At 39.1% G+C, this 21,969-nt stretch overlaps 1 protein-coding gene across 4 annotated transcripts in view; it reads left to right on the plus strand.

Annotated features, from left to right (window-relative positions):
• Positions 1 to 21,969, plus strand: part of INVS (inversin) — a 202,933-nt gene that overhangs the window by 152,803 nt on the left and 28,161 nt on the right. For all 4 annotated transcript variants that reach the window (NR_134606.2, NM_001318381.2, NM_001318382.2 and 1 more), the window contains 4 exons: positions 238 to 393; positions 862 to 1,091; positions 12,777 to 12,883; positions 20,819 to 21,031. Coding sequence is in view for 3 of the 4 variants with exons in the window: in NM_001318381.2 (NP_001305310.1) it covers positions 238 to 393; positions 862 to 1,091; positions 12,777 to 12,883; positions 20,819 to 21,031 (706 nt within the window). In the remaining variant the exon portion in view is untranslated. The remainder of the gene's footprint in view (positions 1 to 237; positions 394 to 861; positions 1,092 to 12,776; positions 12,884 to 20,818; positions 21,032 to 21,969) is intronic.

The raw sequence follows: 21,969 nt of genomic DNA on the forward strand, positions 1-21,969 counted from the left end.
AAAGGAAGAAAATAGCAAGAAGAGAAAGGTAGAAGGAAAGGAGAAAGTGTGAGTAATACATATGAATAGGAAGGAAGGCAGAATCTAAAAAAGCAAAAAATAAATTAGTGAATCCTTAAAATGGAGATTGCATTTATTCAAAATGATGGGGAAATCAAGAGAGGAAAAGACATATAATAATTTAAAAGGTGAAGTTGTTATTGACTAGTTCATCACTTTCTGTTGGTTCCCTTTTAGCTTTGCATGCTGCTGCTCTTTCTGGCCATGTCAGCACCGTGAAGTTATTACTGGAAAATAATGCTCAAGTAGATGCTACTGATGTTATGAAACATACTCCACTTTTCCGAGCCTGTGAGATGGGACACAAAGATGTGATTCAGACACTCATTAAAGGTGGGCTAATAAGAGTACTCCTAATAAGTCTCTCTTAACAGGTAGGAATTCTTGCATACTCTGTTTAAGATAAAGCTTTCCTTAGCAGAAAGCTGCACAAGTACAAGGATGAAGGGATGATCACACAACATGGCATGAGGAACCTCAAGTTCTACTCCTAGCTCCACTTGTTGGGAGTTGCTTGATACAGGAAAAGTAATTTCACCTGCCTGATCTTCACTTTTATTTTATATAAAGGGGGACTGATTCCTAGCCAGTCCAATTTACAAGCTTATTGTAAAAATCTGATGTAGACAACGTATGTGGAAGCATTTCCATAAGAATAAAGCATTAAAGGAACAATTGTTATTGTTTTTCTTCTATTCATTTTAATAAATGCATTTAAGGAACAATTGTTTTTTCTACTCCTACTCATTTTAATAAAAGCTATTTATATTAGACATTCTCATTATATTTGTGCTTTTCCAGGTGGAGCAAGGGTAGATCTAGTTGACCAAGATGGACATTCTCTTCTACATTGGGCAGCACTGGGAGGAAATGCTGATGTTTGCCAGATATTAATAGAAAATAAGATCAATCCAAATGTCCAGGATTATGCAGGAAGAACCCCTTTGCAGTGTGCAGCATATGGAGGCTATATCAACTGCATGGCAGTTCTCATGGAAAACAATGCAGACCCTAACATTCAAGACAAAGAGGTAGAAATTCTGTCTTTTCTATATTGTTTGCTCCAAAGAATTTAGAGTATTTCTTCTTTGTTGTAAACATAAGTAAAACAACAGTTTACAAGATGAAGAGATCACCCACAAATCCATCTGTTAATCATGACTATTATTTGTCCATGTTCTCTTCCAGTCTTTTTCTATATATATAATTTAACATAGTTATAATATAGGCTGGGAATAATTTTATAACTTTTATAAAAGATTACATGGCATACACATGTATGCATCTATAAACATAAATATATGATTTTCTTTTTTTTTTTAATTATACTTTAAGTTCTAGGGTACATGTGCACAACGTGCAAGTTTGTTACATATGTATATATGTGCCATGTTGGTGTGCTGCACCCATTAACTCATCATTTATATTAGGAATATCTCCTAATGCTATCCCTCCCTGCTTCCCCCATCCCACACCAGCCCCCGGTGTGTGATGTTCCCCACCCTATGTCCAAGTGTTCTCATTGTTCAATTCTCACCTATGAGTGAGAACATGCGGTATTTGGTTTTCTGTCCTTGCGATAGTTTGCTGAGAATGATGGTTTCCAGCTTCATCCATGTCCCTACAAAGGACATGAACTCATCTTTTTTTTGTGGCTGCATAGTATTCCATGGTGTATATGTGCTGTATTTTCTTAATCCAGTCTATCATTGATGTACATTTGGGTTGGTTCCAAGTCTTTGCTATTGTGAATAGTGCCGCAATAAACATACGTGTGCATGTGTCTTTATAGCAGCATGATTTATAATCCTTTGGGTATATGCCCAGTAATGGGATGGCTGGGTCAAATGGTATTTCTAGTTCTAGATCCTTTAGGAGTCGCCACACTGTCTTCCACAATGGTTGAACTAGTTTACAGTCCCACCAACAGTGTAAAAGTGTTCCTATTTCTCCACATCCTCTCCAGCACCTGTTGTTTCCTGACTTTTTAATGATCGCCATTCTAACTGGTATGAGATGGTATCTCATTGTGGTTTTGATTTGCATTTCTCTGATGGCCAGTGATGATGAGCATTTTTTCATGTGTCTGTTGGCTGTATAAATGTCTTCTTTAGAGAAGTGTCTGTTCATGTCCTTCGCCCACTTTTTGATGGGGTTGTTTGATTTTTTTCTTGTAAATTTGTTTAAGTTCTTTGTGGATTCTGGATATTAGCCCTTTGTCAGATGGGTAGATTGTAAAAATTTTCTCCAGTTTGAAGGTTGCCTGTTCACTCTGATGGTAGTTTCTTTTGCTGTGCAGAAGCTCTTTAGTTTAATTAGATCCCATTTGTCAATTTTGGCTTTTGTTGCCATTGCTTTTGGTGTTTTAATCATGAAGTCCTTGCCCATGCCTATGTCCTGAATGGTATTGCCTAGGTTTTCTTCTAGGGTTTTTATGGTTTTAGGTCTAACATTTAAGTCTTTAATCCATCTTGAATTAATTTTTATATAAGGTATAAGGAAGGGATCCAGTTTCAGCTTTCTACATGTGGCTAGCCAGTTTTCCCAGCACTGTTTATTAAATAGGGAATCCTTTCCCCATTGCTTGTTTTTGTCAGGTTTGTCAAAAATCAGATGATTGTAGATGTGTGGTATTATTTCTGAGGGCTCTGTTCTGTTCCATTGGTGTATATCTCTGTTTAGGTGCCAGTACCATGCTGTTTTGGTTACTGTAGCCTTATAGTACAGTTTGAAGTCAGGTAGCGTGATGCTTCCAGCTTTGTTCTTTTGGCTTAGGATTGTCTTGGCAATGCGGGCTCTTTTTTGGTTCCATGTGAACTTTAAAGTAGTTTTTTCCAATTCTGTGAAGAAAGTCATTGGTAGCTTGATGGGGATGGCATTGAATCTATAAATTATGTTGGGCAATATGGCCATTTTCACGATATTGATTCTTCCTATCCATGAGCATGGAATGTTCTTCCATTTGTTTGTGTCCTCTTTTATTTCATTGAGCAGTGGTTTGTAGTTCTCCTTGAAGAGGTCCTTCACATCCCTTGTAAGCTGGATTCCTAGGTATTTTATTCTCTTTGAAGACATTGCGAATGGGAGTTCACTCATGATTTGGCTCTCTGTTTGTCTGTTGGCATATAGGAATGCTTGTGATTTTTGTACATTGATTTTGTATCCTGAGACTTTGCTGAAGTTGCCTATCAGCTTAAGGAGATTTTCGGCTGAGACAATGGGGTTTTCTAAATATACAATCATGTCATCCGCAAACAGGGACAATTTGACTTCCTCTTTTCCTAATTGAATACCTTTATTTCTTTCTCCTGCCTGATTGCCCTGGCCAGAACTTCCAACACTGTGTTGAATAGGAGTGGTGAGAGAGGGCATCCCTGTCTTGTGCCAGTTTTCAAAGGGAATGCTTCCAGTTTTTGCCCATTCAGTATGACATTGGCTGTGGGTTTGTCATAAATAGCTCTTATTATTTTGAGATACGTCCCATCAATACCTAGTTTATTGAGAGTTTTTAGCAGGAAGGGCTGTTGGATTTTGTCAAAGGCCTTTTCTGCATCTGTTGAGATAATCATGTGGTTTTTGTCTTTGATTCTGTCTATATGATGGATTACATTTATTGATTTGTGTATGTTGAACCAGCCTTGCATCCCAGGGATGAAGCCCACTTGATCATGGTGGATAAGCTTTTTGATGTGCTGCTGGATTTGGTTTGCCAGTATTTTATTGAAAATTTTTGCATCGATGTTCATCAGGGATATTGGTCTAAAATTCTCTTTTTTTGTTGTGTCTCTGCCAGGCTTTGGTATCAGGATGATGCTGGCCTCATAAAATGATTTAGGGAGGATTCCCTCTGTTTCTATTGATTGGAATAGTTTCAGAAGGAATGGTACCAGCTCCTCTTTGTACCTCTGGGAGAATTTGGCTGTGAATCCATCTGGTCCTGGACATTTTTTGGTTGGTAGGCTATTAATTGTTGTCTCAATTTCGGAGCCTGTTATTGGTCTATTCAGGGATTCAACTTCTTCCTGGTTTAGTCTTGGGAGGGTATGTGTGTCCAGGAATTTATCCATTTCTTCTAGATTTTCTAGTTTATTTGCATAGAAGTGTTTATAGTATTCTCTGATAGTAGTTTGTGTTTTTGTGGGATTGGTGGTGATATTCCCTTTATCATTTTTTATTGCATCTATTTGATTCTTCTCTCTTTTCTTCTTTATTAGTCTTGCTAGTTGTCTATCAGTTTTGTTGATCTTTTAAAAAAAACCAGCTCCTGGATTCATTGATTTTTTGAAGGGTTTTTTGTGTCTCTATCTCCTTCAGTTCTGCTGTGATCTTAGTTATTTCTTGCCTTCTGCTAGCTTTTGAATGTGGTTGCTCTTGCTTCTCTAGTTCTTTTAATTGTGATGCTAGGGTGTCAATTTTAGATCTTTCCTGCTTTCTCTTGTGGGCATTTAGTGCTATAAATTTCCCTTTACACAGTGTTTTAAATGTGTCCCAGAGATTCTGGTGTGTTGTGTCTTTGTTCTCATTGGTTTCAAAGAACATCTTTATTTCTGCCTTCATTTTGTTATGTACCCAGTAGTCATTCAGGAGCAGGTTGTTCAGTTTCCATGTAGTTGAGTGGTTTTGAGTGAGTTTCTTAATCCTGAGTTCTAATTTGATTGCACTGTGGTCTGAGAGACAGTTTGTTGTAATTTCTGTTCTTTTACATTTGCTGAGGAGTGCTTTACTATGTTGTCAATTTTGGAATAAGTGCAATGTGGTACTGAGAAGAATGTATATTCTGTTGATTTGGGGTGGAGAGTTCTGTAGATGTCTATTAGGTCCGCTTGGTGCAGAGCTGAGTTCAAGTCCTGGATATCCTTGTTAACTTTCAGTCTTGTTGATCTGTCTAATGTTGACAGTGGGGTGTTAAAGCCTCCCATGATTATTGTGTGGGAGTCTAAATCTCTTTATAGGTCTCTAAGAACTTGCTTTATGAATCTGGGTGCTCCTGTATTGGGTGCATATATATTTAGGATAGTTAGCTCTTCTTGTTGAATTGATCCCTTTACCATTATATAATGGCCTTCTTTGTCTCTTTTGATCTTTGTTGGTTTAAAGTCTGTTTTATCAGAGACTAGGATTGCAACCCCTGCCTTTTTTTGTTTTCCATTTGCTTGGCAGATCTTCCTCCATCCCTTTATTTTGAGCCTATGTGTGTCTCTGCACATGAGATGGGTTTCCTGAATACAGCACACTGATGGGTCTTGACTGTATCCAATTTGCCAGTCTGTGTCTTTTAATTGGAGCATTTAGCCCATTTACATTTAAGGTTAATATTGTTATGTGTGAATTTGATCCTGTCATTATGATGTTAGCTGGTTATTTTGCTCTTTAGTTGATGCAGTTTCTTCTTAGCATCGATGGTCTTTACAATTTGGCATGCTTTTGTAGTGGCTAGTACCAGTTGTTCCTTTCCATGTTTACTGCTTCCTTCAGGAACTCTTGTCAGGCAGGCCTGGTGCTAACAAAATCTCTCAGCATTTGCTTGTCTGTAAAGGATTTTATTTCTCCTTCACTTATGAAGCTTAGTTTGGCTGGATATGAAGTTCTGGTTTGACAATTCTTTTCTTTAAGAATGTTGAATATCGGCCCCCACTCTCTTCTGGCTTGTAGAGTTTCTGCCAAGAGATCTGCTGTTAGTCTGATGGGCTTCCCTTTGTGGGTAACCCGACCTATCTCTCTGGCTGCCCTTAACATTTTTTCCTTCATTTCAACTTTGGTGAATCTGACAATTATGTGTCTTGGAGTTGCTCTTCTCGAGGAGTATCTTTGTGGCATTCTCTGTATTTCCTGAATTTGAATGTTGGCCTGCCTTTCTAGGTTGGGGAAGTTCTCCTGGATAATATCCTGAACAGTGTTTTCCAACTTGGTTCCATTCTTCCCGTCACTTTCAGGTACACCAATCAGATGTAGATTTGGTCTTTTCACATAGACCCATATTTCTTGGAGGCTTTGTTCATTTCTTTTTACTCTTTTTTCTCTAAACTTCTCACTTCATTTCCTTCATTTGATCTTCAATCACTGATACCCTTTCTTCCACTTGATCGAATTGGCTACTGAAGCTTGTGCATGCCTCATGTAGTTCTTGTGCCATGGTTTTCAGCTCCATCAGGTCATTTAAGGTCGTTTCTATGCTTTTTATTCTAGTTAGCCATTCGTCTAATCTTTTTCCAAAGTTTTTATCTTCTTTGCAATGGGTTCGAACATGCTCCTTTAGCTCGGAGAAGTTTGTAATTACCGATCGTCTGAAGCCTACTTCTGTCGACTCGTCAAAGTCATTCTCCATCCAGCTTTGTTGTGTTGCTAGCGAGGAGCTGTGTTCCTTTGAAGGAGAAGAGGCACTCTGATTTTTAGAATTTTCAGCTTTTCTACTCTGGTTTCTCCCCATCTTTGTGGTTTTATGGTCTTTGGTCTTTGGTCTTTGATGATGGTGATGTACAGATGGGATTTTGGTGTGGATGTCCTTTCTGTTTGTTAGTTTTCCTTCTAACAGTCAGGACCCTTAGCTGCAGGTCTGTTGGAGTTTGCTGGAGATCCACTCCAGACCATGTTTGCCTGGGTATCACCAGCGGAGGCTGCAGAACAGCAAATATTGCAGAACGGCAAATGTTGCCGCCTGATCCTTCCTCTGGAAGCTTCGTCTCAGAGGGGCAACTGGCTGTATGAGGTGTCAGTCGGCCCCTACTGGGAGATGTCTCCCCGTTAGGCTATTGGGGGTCAGGGACCCACTTGAGGAGGTAGTCTGTCCATTCTCAGATCTCAAACTCCATGCTGGGAGAACCACTACTCTCTTCAAAGCTGTCAGACAGGGTCGTTTAAGTCTGCAGAAGTTTCTGCTGCCTTTTGTTCAGCTATGTCCTGCCCCCAGAGGTGGAGTCTACAAAGGCAGGTAGGCCTCCTTGAGCTGCGGTGGGCTCCACCCAGTTCGAGCTTCCTGGCCGGCCGCTTTGTTTACCTACTCAAGCCTCAGCAATGGCGGACGCCCCTCCCCCAGCCTCGCTGCTGCCTTGCAGTTCGATCTCAGACTGCTGTGCTAGCAGTGAGTGAGTCTCCGTGGGCGTGGGACCCTCTGAGCCAGGTGTGGGATATAATCTCCTGGTGTGCCGTCTGCTAAAACCATTGGAAAAAGCGCAGTATTAGGGTGGGAGTGTCCCGATTTTCCAGGTACCATCTGTCACGGCTTTCCTTGGCTAGAAAAAGGGAATTCCCCGACCCCTTGCACTTTCTGGGTGAGGTGATGCCCCACCCTTCTTTGGCTCACACTCCATGGGCCACACCCACTGTCCAGCAAGCCCCAGTGAGATGAACCCGGTACCTCAGTTGGAAATGCAGAAATCACCCGTCTTCTTCATCACTCATGCTGAGAGCTGTAGACTGGAGCTGTTCCTGTTTGGCCATCTTGGAACTGGGGCCTTTTTTTTTTTTTTTTTCCTCCCAGGCTGGAGCGCAGTGGTGCAATCTTGGCTCACTGCAACCTCCACCTCCCGGGTTCAAGCGATTCTCTTGCCTCAGCCTCCTGAGTAGCTGAGAGGGTACTTGGCCTCTCAGGCATCCACCACCATGCCTGGCTAATTTTTGTATTTTTAGTAGAGACGGGGTTTCGTCACATTGGCCAGGCTGGTCTCGAACTCCTGATCTCAGGTGATCCGCCCGCCTCGGCCTCCCTAAGTGCTGGGATTACAGGCATGAGCCACCACACCTGACCCTATTACATGATTTTCTTTTCTTTTCTTTTTTTGTTTGTTGAGATGGAGTCTCGCTTCGTCACCCAGGCTGGAGTGCAGTGGCACCATCTCTGCCCATTGCAACTTCTGCCTCCTGGGTTCAAGTGATTCTTCTGCCTCAGCCTCCTGAGTAGCTGGGATTACAGGCGCACACCACCATGCCCAGCTAATTGTTGTATTTTTAGTAGAGATGGGGTTTCACCATGTTGGCCAGGCTGGTCTCAAATTCCTGACCTTGTGATCTGCCTACCTCAGCCTCCCAAAGTGCTAGGATTACAGATGTGAGCCACCATGTCCGACCTATTACATTTTCTTTTCTTTTTTTTTTTTTTTTTTTTGAGACAAGAGTCTCATTCTTTCACCCAGGCTGGAGTGCAGTGGCACAACCTCGGCTTACTGCAACCTCCACCTCCCAGGTTCAAGCGATTCTTCTGCCTCAGCCTCCCGAGTAGCTGGGATTACAGGCATGCACCACCACATCTGGCTAATTTTTATAATGTTTTTAGTAGACACAGGATTTCACCATGTTGGTCAGTCCGGTCTCGAACTCCTGACCTCGTGATCCACCCACCTTGGCCTCCCAAAGTGCTGGGATTACAGGTGTGAGCCACCGTGCCTGCCTATTACATGATTTTCAAACCACATTTTGTTTACTTAAAATTGTCACCGTTTTCTCATGTGATATATAATCTTTTTAATTATCATGAATGCTTAAAATTCCAAGGTTCCAAGAACTTTATGTTTAATAGCTTATTCAATCCTTACAATAATCTTATAAAGTAGTTACTATTATTATTCTCATTTTACAGATGAGGAAATTGAAGCTCATGTAGTTTAAGTAGTTAGCCTAAGATAACAACAGTGGGGGAAGCTTGGGGGGAGATTTAATATCCAAACTATGCTCTTAACCCAAATATAGGTTAAATAAGTAACTTCCTATTGCTGGTCACTTTTTCACTATTATAGGTAATGTTTCAGTAATTATCTTTGTGCATTTAACTTTTTTCCTTTGGGATTATCGCATTAGAATAATTCCCCCTAAGTGAGATTATCAAATCAAAGCAACCAATCGTTTATTAATATGATTAGGCTCTCATATATACTGCCAAACTGATTTCTAAAAGATTCAGGTTAATCTTTACTTTCCCCAGTTGCGTAGTATTAATTTATCTCAGTTTAGCCAGTATTAACTTTTTTGCTAATTAAATTATTTTAACTCTTTAAAAATATTTGCATGTTAATTATGTTTTCCAAGTCAGAAAATTAGCTGTCCCTATTAACTCAAGTCCCTATGAACTCATTGAACAAGTATTTATCAAGATTGTTACTGTATGTAAAAGTAACAAAGAAAAGTATGTAAAATATGGTCCATGTCTTTATGATACTAGGAATGCATCTTTTTTTTTTTTTTTTTTGAGACAGAGTCTCGCTCTGTCACCCAAGCTGGAGTGCACTGGCCCAGTCTCAGCTCACTGCAAGCTCCACCTCCCGGGTTCGCGCCATTCTTCTTGCTTAGCCTTCCAAGTAGCTGGGACTACAGGTACCTGCCACCATGCCTAGCTAATTTTTTTTTGTATTTTTAGTAGAGACGGGGTTCAACATGTTAGCCAGGATGGTCTCGATCTCCTGATCTTGTGATCCGCCTGCCTTAGCCTCCCAAAGTGCTGGGATTACAGGCATGAGCCACCGCACCTGGGAGGAATGCATCTTTTATAATTTGTAGTACTTTTAATGTTTTACCAAGTTGCCAGTTTTTTACATAAGTAGAATATTAAGCATCTTTCCAGTTCTATTAGCTGCTATGTGTATTGCTTTGGATTGTCTACATAAGCAATCATGCATGCTATCTGTGAATAATAACATTTTTATTTCTTCATTTCCAATCTTTATACTTTTCATTTCTTTGCTGTGCCATATTGAATTGGAACCTTCAATACAATCTTGAATAGAATTGGTGATAATTGGCATCCTTAATTAATTCTGGTTTCTCAGATGGCAAGCTTTCAACATTTTACCATTGAGTAAGATGTTGCTATAGATTTCCTTATATTCCCACTTGCCAAGAGTTTTTTTAAATCATAGTTGGGTTTTTGTCAAATACTATTTATGCATTTATCAACAAGATTTTTTTTTCCTCTTTTCTGTTAATATGGCAAATTACATTGACTGATTTTTTTTTTAGATGTTAAACAACCCTTGCATTTCTGGAGTAAGCCCCATATATATTATGTACTTTTATATACTGATGTATTTTACCTGCTAATATTTTAAGATTTTTGCGTCTATGTTTATGAGAGAGATTGGCCTATAATTTTCCTTTCTTGTATTATAGTTGCAAGGTTTTGGTAGCAAGGTAAGGCTAACCTTGTCAAAAAAAAAAAGTTAGAAAATAGTCCCTTGTTTTTATTCTCTTGGAGAATAAAATTGGTATTACTTCTTCCTTAAATGTTTGGAAGAATTTCCTCTTGAAGTTATCTGGTGTTGGGGTTTTCTTTGTGTAAAAGTTTTAAATAACCAATTCAATTCCATTAATTATTCAGATTTTCTAATTATTTTTCTTTCAGCTTGGTAAGTTGTACTTTTTAAGGAATTTATTCATTTTATTCAAAATGTCAAATGTATTTGCATAAATTTTGTCACACACATATTCCCTTATCTTTTTTATGCCTGTAGGACCTGTAGTGAGTTCCTCTTGTTTATTTCATATATTGGTAATGTGTGTTTTCTCTTTCTTTTTTAAAAATTTTCTTTATTCCTTACCTGGAGCACTAAAAAAAAAAAAAAAAAAAAAAACTTGATATTCATCTCCTCAAAGGACTTATTTCTGTCTTTGTGGATTTTCTATATTTTGAGATTTTGGGTTTTTTTGTTTGCTTGTTTGTTTGTTTGTTTCTTAAGACAGTATCTCACTCTGCCACCCAGGCTGGAGTGCAGTGGCATGATCATGGCTCATTGTAACCTCAACCTTCCCAGGCTCGGGTGATCATCCCACCTCAGCCTCTTGAGTAACTGGGACTACAGGTGCACACCACCACACCTGGCTAAATTTTTTGTATTTTTAGTAGAGAAGGGGTTTCACCATGTTGCCCACGGCTGTTCTTGAACTCCTGAGCTCAAGCAATCTACCTGCCTCAGCCTACGAAAGTGCTAGGATTACAGGCATGAGCCACTGCAACTGGCCTGTATTTTGAGTTTGTTTACTATTTCATTGGTCTTGCTCCTGTCTTTTTTATTTTCTAACTTCTAATTTCTATTTCCTAATTTCTATTTTGGTTTATTCTCTGACACATAGATTATTTAGAAGTGTACTGTTTAATTTTCAGTCAGTTGAGTGTTTTCTCATTTTTTAAATTGATTATATTAGTTATGTATTGCTGCTGTAACAAATTACCACAGGTTTAGTGGCTTAGAACAACACAGATTTATTATCTTACCATTCTAGATGTCAGAAATTCAAACTGGGCCTTACTGGGTTAAAAATCAAGGTGTCACCAGGACTGCTTTTCTTTTGGTGGATCTAGGAGAGGATCCATTTTTTTAATTTTTTAGTTTCTCAAGGCTGCCCACATTCCTTGGCTGATGACCCCATTCCTCCATCTTCAAAGCCACATTGGCTGGTTGAGCCTTTCTCTGTATCACTTATCTGTATAATTCTTACACTCACCCTCCTGACTCCCTGTTTCCCTTATAAGGACCCTTGTGATTAGATCAGGCCTACCCAGATAATCCAGGATAATCTTCCCATCTCAAGTTCAGCTGATTAGCAATCTTAATTCCATCTACAACCTTAATTCTTCCTTCTCATGTAACATAACATATTCACAGGTACCAGGCACTAGGATATGGACATCTTTGTGAGGGAGTGCATTATTTTTTTTGGAACTTTATGGCCCAGCATATGATTGATTTTGGGAAATGTTCTATGTACATGTGAAAAGAGCACTAACTCTGTCCTTGTTGGATGCAGTGTTTTTTATTTATATATATATCACTTAGGGCCCATTTTTCAAAGTCTGTTGTTTAGGTCTTATATATCTTTACTGCTCTTTTGTCTGCTCTATCAGTTGTTTTTAAAAGATAAGTTAAAATCCCACTATGACTATGGACTTGACTATCTTCCTTTTTAATTTTGTCGATTTTTCCCTTGTATATTTGGAAGCTTTGTTATTAGATGCACACAAGTTTAGCATTGTGATATCTTCCTTTTTGACTCCTTTAACACTATGAAGTGTCCCTCTTTATGTCTAGCAATGCTTCATCTCTTCTTTATCTTTCATGACATTGAACTTTTTAAAGAATACAAGCCATTTATTTTATAGAATTTGACTCAATTTGTGTTAGTCTTATGTTCCCTCATAATTAGATTCAGGTTTCACATTTTTGGTTGGAATATTACATAAGTAATATGAATCCTTCTAAGGGTATTACCTCTGGAGATATATGATGCCCCTTATCACAGCCTTAATTGGCCAGGCATGTTGGCTCACGCCTGTAATCCCAGCACTTTGGGAGGCTGAGGCGGGTGGATCACCTGAGGTCAGGAGTTTGAGACCAGCCTGGTTAACATGACAAAACCCTGTCTCTACTAAAAATACAAAAATTAGCTGGGCATGGCGGCGGGCACCTGTAATCCCAGCTACTTGGGAGGCTGAGGCAGGAGAATTGCTTGCACCTGGGAGGTGGAGGTTGCAGTGAGCTGAGATCTCACCATTGCACTCCAGCCTGAGCGACGAGAGCGAAACTCCGTCTCAAAAAAAAAAAAAAAATAGTGTTAATTATGAGCTCTTGGATCAAATATCATTTGCTTTCTCCACTGTATATTTAATATTTTCCCTTTTTGTAAATAAGCAATTTGGAAAAATGATTGCTTATATTAATTTTGAATTAGCATAAATAACCACATATCCAAAAATACTTACTCCAGATGTACTTGATTTTTGTTTATGCTTATAGGGAAGAACAGCTTTGCATTGGTCCTGCAACAATGGATACCTTGATGCCATTAAATTACTGCTAGACTTTGCTGCTTTCCCTAATCAGATGGAAAACAATGAAGAGAGGTAAGTTGTTGTTGACTTTTTTTTTTTTTTTTGAGATGGCTTCTCGCCCTGTCACTCAGGTTGGGTTGCAGTGGCACGATCTTGGCTCACTGCAACCTTCGCCTCCTGGGTTCAAGCAATTCTTCTCCTTCAGCCTCCTGAGTACCTGGGATTACAGGCATGCACGATCACACCTGGCCAATTTTTTTGTATTTTTAGTAGAGATGGGGTTTCACCATGTTAGCTAGGGAGGTCTCGAACTCCTCACCTTGTGATCCACCCACCTCGGCCTCCCAAAGTGCTGGGATTATAGGCGTGAGCTACCATGCCCAGCCAAGTTGTTGACTTTTTTTTAAAAAAAGTGCTCTTTATCATACATCCTTTCTACCAGATTTTTTAAATCTCAAGGTTAGATATTGTTCAGAAATAATAACTATACTCATAATAAAACATTACACTAAGAAATACTGAGCCAGAATAGAAGAGCAAAACTTTCATGCAATGTTGATTTAGAATCATGGGATCTTATAGCTCTTCAGAATTTCATCTATTGCCTAGGGCAAGCATGTATTTTGCAGATGAGAAAATTTTAGTCCTGCTTCTGACTTCTGGCTAACATAACGTCAGTGAAATCCTGATTGACTGGGCCCAGGAGTACATTTAGGCCAGCGGAATGTGTTATATATTCCAGAGATTTCTCTTGATGAAGAGGATATTATCAGTCAGTAGACAAAGAGATGCCACCATGTAGCATGAAAACATAAGGAGAAGCTAAGATGAAAGTTCAGGGTTTAATCTAAATGCAGATTGCATGAATAATGTAAGGTCTGGAGAATTATATTAGGGTTATTGACCAAGAATCCAGGCCCAATAAAAAGGACCAAACAGGCCAGGTGCGGTGGCTCACGCCTGTAATCCCAACACTTTGGGAGGCCAAGGCGAGCAGATCAACTGAGGTCAGGAGTTCGAAACCAGCCTGGCCAACATGGTGAAACCCCATCTCTACTAAAAATATAAAAAAGTTAGCTGGGCATGGTGGTACATGCCTGTAATCCCAACTACTCAGGAGGCTGAAGCAGGAGAATTGCTTGAACCCAGGAGGCGGAGGTTGCAGTGAGCCCGAGATCATGCCACTGCACTCCAGCCTCTGCAACAGAGTAAGACTCTGCCTAAAAAAAAAGGAACAAACAGAATGTGAAGTCTAAGGAATAGCGATTCTTGGTGGTGTTAGATCTAGGAAGATTCTTATAATTTGTAGGTAACAACTGAGTTTGTGATCACACTTCCATACCTGAGGTCCTGTTACAGGAAAGGGGTCCCGATCCAGACCCCGTCAGAGGGTTCTTGGATCTTGCACAAGAAAGAATTCAGGGCGACTTTTGCAGTGCAAAGTGAAAGCAAGTTTATTAAGAAAGGAAAGGAATAAAAGAATGGCTACTCCAGAGACAAAGCAGCCTTGAGGGCTGCTGGTTACCCGTTTTCTTATGGTTATTTTTTGATGATATGCTAACCAAGGGGTGGATTATCCATGCCTCCCCTTTTCAGACCTTATAGGGTAACTTCCCAACTTTGCTATGGCATTTGTAAAATGTCACAGCGCTGGTGGGAGTGTAGCAGTGAGGACAACCAGAGGTCACTCTCGTCTCCATCTTGGTTTTGGTGGGTTTTGGCCAGCTTCTTTACTGCAACCTGTTTTATCAGCAAGGTCTTTATGACCTGTATTTTGTGCTGACCTCCTATTTCATCCTATGCCTTAGAATGCCTTAACCTTCTGGGAATGCAGCCCAACAGCTTTCAGCCTCATTTTACGAGATCCTCTTTAAGATGGAGTTCACATGCCTCTGACAATCCCTCTGACCTAGGTCTTTGTGTTAGTTTTCATGTTTCATGGATGCTCTAACTAAAATGGCTCCTGCTATAATACCATTCCCATCCTCTTAGCCACCACCCATTCTTTCTATTAGTTGGTGGAAAACTTTATTGAGAAGGGACTTCTCTACGTCCATCTCAGAGGAAACATGTTCCTGTTTTCTAGAACCAACCCCTTTACCACTTCTTTCAGAAACTTCCCTCATTAGAGGGAGAGCTGAAGATGTCTCCCTTTGAAACTCTAAAAAAAAAAAAAAAAAAAAAAAAGAAAGTTTAAGAATCCTTAGACTTAGTGATGACTTGTTTTGTTTCTATAAAAATTTATTCTGTGTAACAGCATTTACCGCCTGACTGCTATATTTTTAAGGAAACAATGAAATTTTTTAACTCAATTTCCATTTATATGCTAAACCTTGAATATGAGACCTAAGTAACTGCATGAATTAAGGTGTTTACTGCCTCCCGGAATAAACATATGTTAATTACAGACCAAAAGACCAAAGGAAAAATCCTCCTAACTTTACTTGCCAAACTATAGATAAAAAGAGACAGTGGCAATAACTCAGTCTTTGTTAATGTTTCATCAGCAATGTACCTTGATGTACAAATGTCAGAACTTGGCACTGCCTTTTACGTTTATTGACATTCCAGTTTAGGCATTCTACTCATCCCATCAGACCATTCCCACATGGCAGGTCCAATTGTATCTTGTCTGTTGTCTATATCCACATTGTTTCTTGGTTGGTTACCATCAGTGTAGTGCTAATTTTTACTTCTCATACATTGACACTAGTCAGTTGATGAACAACGTATAGACATAATTTTTGCCAACTTCTGCTGACTTTCAGTCAATAACTATCTGACACACTCACCCCAACCCTGATGGGAATATTCACAGCATTTGAATTTTTCTAAATTGAATTTGGGATGAAAAAAGATTCAGTAGTAATAATCACAATGTGTTTTATGATCACACTTGTTTTAAATACTGGGTATAGACTTCAATCTTAAAATGATGCTAGATATTTGGATTGTGTCTCTGAATAAAAAATTGAGAATCCTAATTTGAATAAACCAATTACAAAAATATATTTTTTGAGAAAATTGGGTAAATTTGATTATGAAGTGGTCCTTAGATTTTACTAAGGAATTCCTGTTAATTTTGTTAGTATAATGACATTGTGGGTATGCCCATATTATTTACTGATGAATACTTAAACACATAGAGATGAAGATGTTACAGGAAAGTGGTCCCGATCCCGACCCCAAGAGAGGGTTCTTGGCTCTCTCGCAAGAAACAATTCAGGGTGAGTCTGCAGTGCAAAGCAAAAGCAAGTTTATTAAGAAAGTAAAGTGGTGAAAGTACAGCTACTCCATAGACAGAGTAGGGCGTTCCCGAAAGTAAGAGAGGAACGTATCCACCCTAAGTACAATACTTGTTTATATACAGGATTAAAAAAAAGATTATGGGGAGATGTGCTGTGCTACAAGGGTTTGTGATAAAGGATTCATTTTCTTAATTACTACATTTTTCAAGAATCAATATTATTATCTTCAAAGCAAAATTAGGAATGCCTTTGTTCTCCAGATATCGGGATATTAGGACTCTCTCAAGTCTGGGTCTGTTTAGTAAACATCAGTATGTTCCCTTAACGGTAAACATCTAGAGGCTAGGAATACCTTTCTGGGAATGCAGCCCAGCAAGCCCCAGCCTCATTTTCGTAGCCCTCACTCAAGATGGAGTCCTCTGGTTCCAATACCTCTGACAAAATGATAGGAGTTCCGAGATTAGCTATAAAATACTCTAGCAAAAATAAAAAGGAAGGGTCTAGATGAAGCAAATGTAGCAAAAAATTGTTAAATTTAGGTATTGAGTGTATAAGTGTTTATTATGTTATTCTCTCTACCTTTTTTATGCTTAAAATTTTTCATAATAAAAATATATTTTTTTACATAAAAATATTTAAGATATAATTTTCAATCCAAAAGCAGCCTAAGAAGTCTAGTTCTTCTCTTTACAAATGAGGAAACAAAAGCCCAGAGAAGTTAAGAGAATGCCCAGGGTCACACAGGTCCCCTGACTCCCAGATCAGCATTCTTTAGGGTATATTAAGCTACATGTTATTTCCTTTTGTAATATTTGTAGGTAAAGGAATAATTTGGGCCCTATATTTTATAAACTAAATTTTGTTAATCCTGCTTATATATTATGTGAAGGATACTACCTATTAATAATTATAGAAAAAATGATCAAACTTACCAAATACGTATGTTGTTTGCACATTGATTTAAGAAACAGTTTTATTCTATAGGAAACATACTAAGTAATTGATATATGTGTTGTGGAAGGTTACTGAACTGGGAGACATGTTATCTTAGTTCTAGTCTGCATTCTATAGAAACAATTTACATAACCTTTGGTAAGTTGCTTAACCTCTCTGGAGCTGTTCATCCATTTATAAAATGAAGGTATTGAACTAAATGACCTCTAAAATTCAATTTAGCTCTACTATTGCATGGTTTAATGACTCTATGATAATTTTTTCCATTAGAGAAAGTACAGTCAAGAAAGGCATTTTAGAACTTGTAGCAAAATTTTTTTTAATTCTCCTGAATTTAAAAAATGTTATCCACTTATAAATAATGTTTTAAAGTTTATGTAGATGCCTCTCAGATGGTCCCTGAACAGTAAGTGGCAAATGAAGCTGTCCTAAAATAGAGGTTCCTTAATTTCAGTGTTTGGGGTTTCTTCCCAAACTCAGTTTCCTTACTAAAGTGATCAAAATACTCCTATAGTGAAAAACCTCTTCCTTTTATGTCTTAACTGTGACTGTTAGGTAAGTTTTGAAGATAAATAATTTTTTTTCTATAATCAGATGATTTTCTATGTCTAGTCATGCATCCATATAATCATCCTTTTTTCTGCCTCATAAATCATCTGATGTTTTTTCCTAAGACCTTTTATGGGTTTGGCTGGTCAGAGTCATCCTGAGAGGAATCAGCATCAGTGGTGGTCATGGGATGGTCATAGATACTAGTTTGGGTCCTATGGAGATAATATTTTTGATAAGCAGCTGTGGTATTGCAAGCCATACAGCAGTGAATGTCCTGTAATAATAACAATCAGAGCTGACATTTATTAACTGTTTCCTTTGGACCAGGAACATTGCTATCCTCTTTACACTTATTTTTCCATTTTCTCCTCATGCCAAGTCTGCAACGTATTACATTGTTTAACAGATGAGGAAAACTGAGGCTTAGAGATATAAAGTAAGTTGTTTAAAAAGTGATAGTCATCGTTACCATTGTTGGATGGTAGAATTTGGGGGATTTTTTTTACTTCAATTTTTTTTTTGCAGTGTTTTGAGTTCATAAAATCTATATCATTTTGACAAAGTAGTAATTTTTGTTTAAAAAAGGAAATTGTATCTCCCAGATATGAACAGTGGTTAATTCTCAGGGTGGGAATATGGATGATAGCTATTTTCCTCTGTATATTTACCCAATTTTTTATGTTTCCAAAATTTATGAAGAAATTTTTTTAAAAGAATAGGCTGGGTGCAGTGGCTCACACCTATAATTCCAACACTTTGGTAGGCCAAGGCAGAAGGATTGCTTGAGCTCAGGAGTTCGAGACCAGCCTGGAGAACATGGCGAAATCCCATCTCTACAAAAATACAAAAACTGGCCGGGTGCAGTGGCTCATGCCTGTAATCCCAGCACTTTGGGAGGCCGAGGTGGTCGGATCACCTGAGGTCAGGAGTTCGAGACCAGCCTGACCAATATGATGAAACCCCGTCTCTACTAAAAATACAAAAAAAATTAGCCGGGTGTGATGGCATGTGCCTGTAATCCCAGCTACTCGGGAGGCTGAGATGGGAGAATTGCTTGAACCTGGGAGGCGGAGATTGCAGTGAGCTGAGATCGCGTCATTGCACTCCAGCCTGGGCAACAAGAGCAAAACTCCATCTCAAAAAAAAAAAAAAAAAAAAAAAATTAGCCAGCCTTGGTGGTACATGCCCGTGGTCCCAGCTATTTGGGGGGCTGAGGCAGGAGGACTACTTGAGCCCAGGAGGAGTCGAGGCTGCAGTAAGCTGTGTTTGCACCACTACACTCCAGCCTGGGCAACAGAGTGAGACCCTATCTCAAAAAAAAAGAAAAAAAAAAAAGAATGTGCCGAAAACAGCACACCTAGAAAGTTGCCATTTGAGATTCAAATATACAACAATATGACAATAATATTCATCGTTTCTAAATAATGTATTTATCAAAACAGTGATGTATATACACTGTACAAAATTTAAAAGGATGTTCACTGAAGACTCAATGTTCCTCCTACCCCTGCCTCTGAGACAGCTAGTTTTCCTCCCCCAGAGGCATCACTGTTAGCAGTTTCTTGGAAAACTTCTGAAAATACATTTTTCATAGATAAACATACAGGGATATATTTTTTATACAAATGGAACATGCCATAATAACTCCTGTTTCTTGCTTTTTTCTTTGTCTTCATTTGACATCCTGGAGATTGTTTCTTATTTATTCATATATAGCAGTAATGACTGCATATACAGATATCTTCATTATATGGATGGCCTGTGCATTGTTTAAGCAGTCCTCTGTTGATAGACATTGAGGTTGTTTCTATTCTTTTGCTATGACTAGCTGTACTTCTATGAGTAGCCTTGTACATAAAGCATTTCACATGAGAGCAGATCTATAAGATAAATTCCTAAGAGTGAAACGGCTATGTCAAATGGCATATATACATGAATAATTTTGATAAATATTGCCAAATCATCCTCCCTAGAAGTTAAAGTAGTATATGAAAGAGCCTGACTCTCTCTGTCCTTGCTAGTGCAGTGTGTTACTAACTTTTCTGATTTTTGCAAATCTGATCATCATTGAAAGGTACTCTCTCATGTTAGTCTAATTCATATTTCTCTTAAATGAGTGAGGTTCAACATTTTTATGTGTTAAGAGCTATTAGTACTCTTCTGGGAACTGTTATCTTTGTCTTTGATGTCTTTTTTACTCTGTAAAATTTTGTTATTTTTATGTAGTCAGATTTGTCAATCTTCTTTTATGGTTTCCGAAATTTTTTTTTTTTTTGGAGACGGTGTCTCACTCTGTCACCCAGTCTGGAGTGCAGTGGCATGATCTCAGCTCACTGCTGCCTCCACCTCCTGGGTTCAAGCAATTCTCCTGCCTTAGCCTTCTGAGTAGCTGGGACTACAGGTATGTGCCACCATGCCTGGCTAATTTTTGTATTTTTAGTAGAAACAGGGTTTCACCTTGTTGGCTAGGCTGTCTCGAACTCCTAACCTCAAGTGATCTGCCCACCTCGGCCTCCCAAAGTGCTGCGATTACAGGCGTGAGCCTCTGCGCCCAGCCCTTTTATGGTTTCTGAATTTTGTATCCTTTTTTTAGAAAAGACTTCCAACATCATTTTTTAATCTTCCTGGTTTCTTCTGGTACTTTCATGGTTCCTTTTTAAAATATTTAGATCTTTGCTCTATCCAGAATTTATTTTGGTATAAAATGTGGTTATAAGAATCTCTTTTTTTTCCCCAGATGGCTACCTGGTTGTCCCATCACTATTTATTTAGTAATCCATCTTTTCTGCAGAAATTTAAAGGGCCATTCTTATCATATACTGAATTTCTCCTTTTGGAGTTCTGTTTTTTACTTCATAAGCATTAACTGTCAGTAATCATGGGCTCAAATTTACAAATCTCACAATATTTTCACTACCTTTTTAGATGGGGCAGGGAATTATTTGGCACATGGGAAAGAAGAGAAGTGATCATGTCTTTCCAATAGGCCCCTATTTGTTTGCCAGGGAGTAAAACTCAGGAACTGACATGGTTAGCAGCACAAAGCACCTGACCCACAGTCATAGTCAACCTTGTTTTGTGCCCCTCGGAGAAAAAAAGAATAGCCCTGTTATAGAGAAGGTGGCTTTGCCTGGGGAATATTCCACATCTTAGAATGAAGTTTCCTTCTGCTGCATAATAATATTTTCAGTTTAACTGTGCCTTAAATTACATTCTAAAATTAAAAAAAAAAGAAATCTTCCTCCCACTTCAGATACACACCCCTTGATTATGCTTTGCTTGGTGAGCGCCATGAAGTGATCCAGTTCATGTTGGAGCACGGTGCCCTGTCCATCGCAGCCATACAAGACATCGCCGCCTTCAAAATCCAAGCTGTCTACAAAGGGTACAAGGTCAGAAAAGCCTTCCGAGACAGGAAAAATCTCCTCATGAAGCATGAACAGTTGAGAAAAGATGCTGCTGCCAAGTAAGTATGAGCTACGCAGATTGCGTTTTCGCCACCCAGAATCAGGGTGGAAGTGGGGGTGTGGGGGGTGCTGGGGTGGCCAGGAGAGGGAAACAGATGAGAATCTGAATTACTGTTGGTCCCTGCAACCGGTCATCTTCCCTCTTCTCAGCACTCCGTCTTCTGGAACCGAGGCTGCAGTGAAGGACAGAGGCCTAACCTCTGCTGGGTAGTGATTCCTCTAGACTAGTCCCAATGTTTCAGCCCAGGGACAAACCACTCCCACCCATGGGAGGGAGTTGGGGATGGGATTGCTTCCTAGAATAAGCTGTAAAGAAATAACTGCTCCTCTTACCCTTCCTCTCTTTCCAAAAGAAACATGCCAATATCTAGCCTACTTTCACTAGACCAGTCTAAGTCTGGTTTTAATTTGATTAAAGCAAACAACTTGGTTTTTTTTTCCACTCAGTTCTTTTTTTTTTTTTTTTTTTTTTTTTTTCTGAGATGGAGTCTCACTTGCCGCCCAGGCTGGAATGCAGTGGCACAACCTCGGCTCACTGCAACCTCCACCTCCCAGGTTCAAGCAATTCTCCTGCCTTGGCCTCCCGAGTAGCTGGGACTACAGGCGCGCGCCACCACACCCGGGTAATTTTTGTATTTTTAGTAGAGATGGGGTTTCACCATGTTGGCTAGGCTGGTCTTGAACTCCTGACCTCAAATGATCCACCCACCTCATCCTCCCAAAGTGCTGGGATTACAGGCATAAGCCACCGCACCCAGCTTTCCTTCACCCATTTCTTAACACATCTGTACTAAATAAAGTAATTTACTCAAGAAATATTGATTGAATTCTTACTATACAGACAAAATGCTTGGCTAGAGCCCAGAGAGAAAATGGCAACTAAAAAAGCAAAATCCCCCCTGCCTCAAGGACTTCGCATTTTTTTTGGACGATGATA

The sequence above is a fragment of the Homo sapiens genome, chromosome 9, assembly GCF_000001405.40.
Source record: "Homo sapiens chromosome 9, GRCh38.p14 Primary Assembly".
Taxonomy (NCBI): domain Eukaryota; kingdom Metazoa; phylum Chordata; class Mammalia; order Primates; family Hominidae; genus Homo; species Homo sapiens.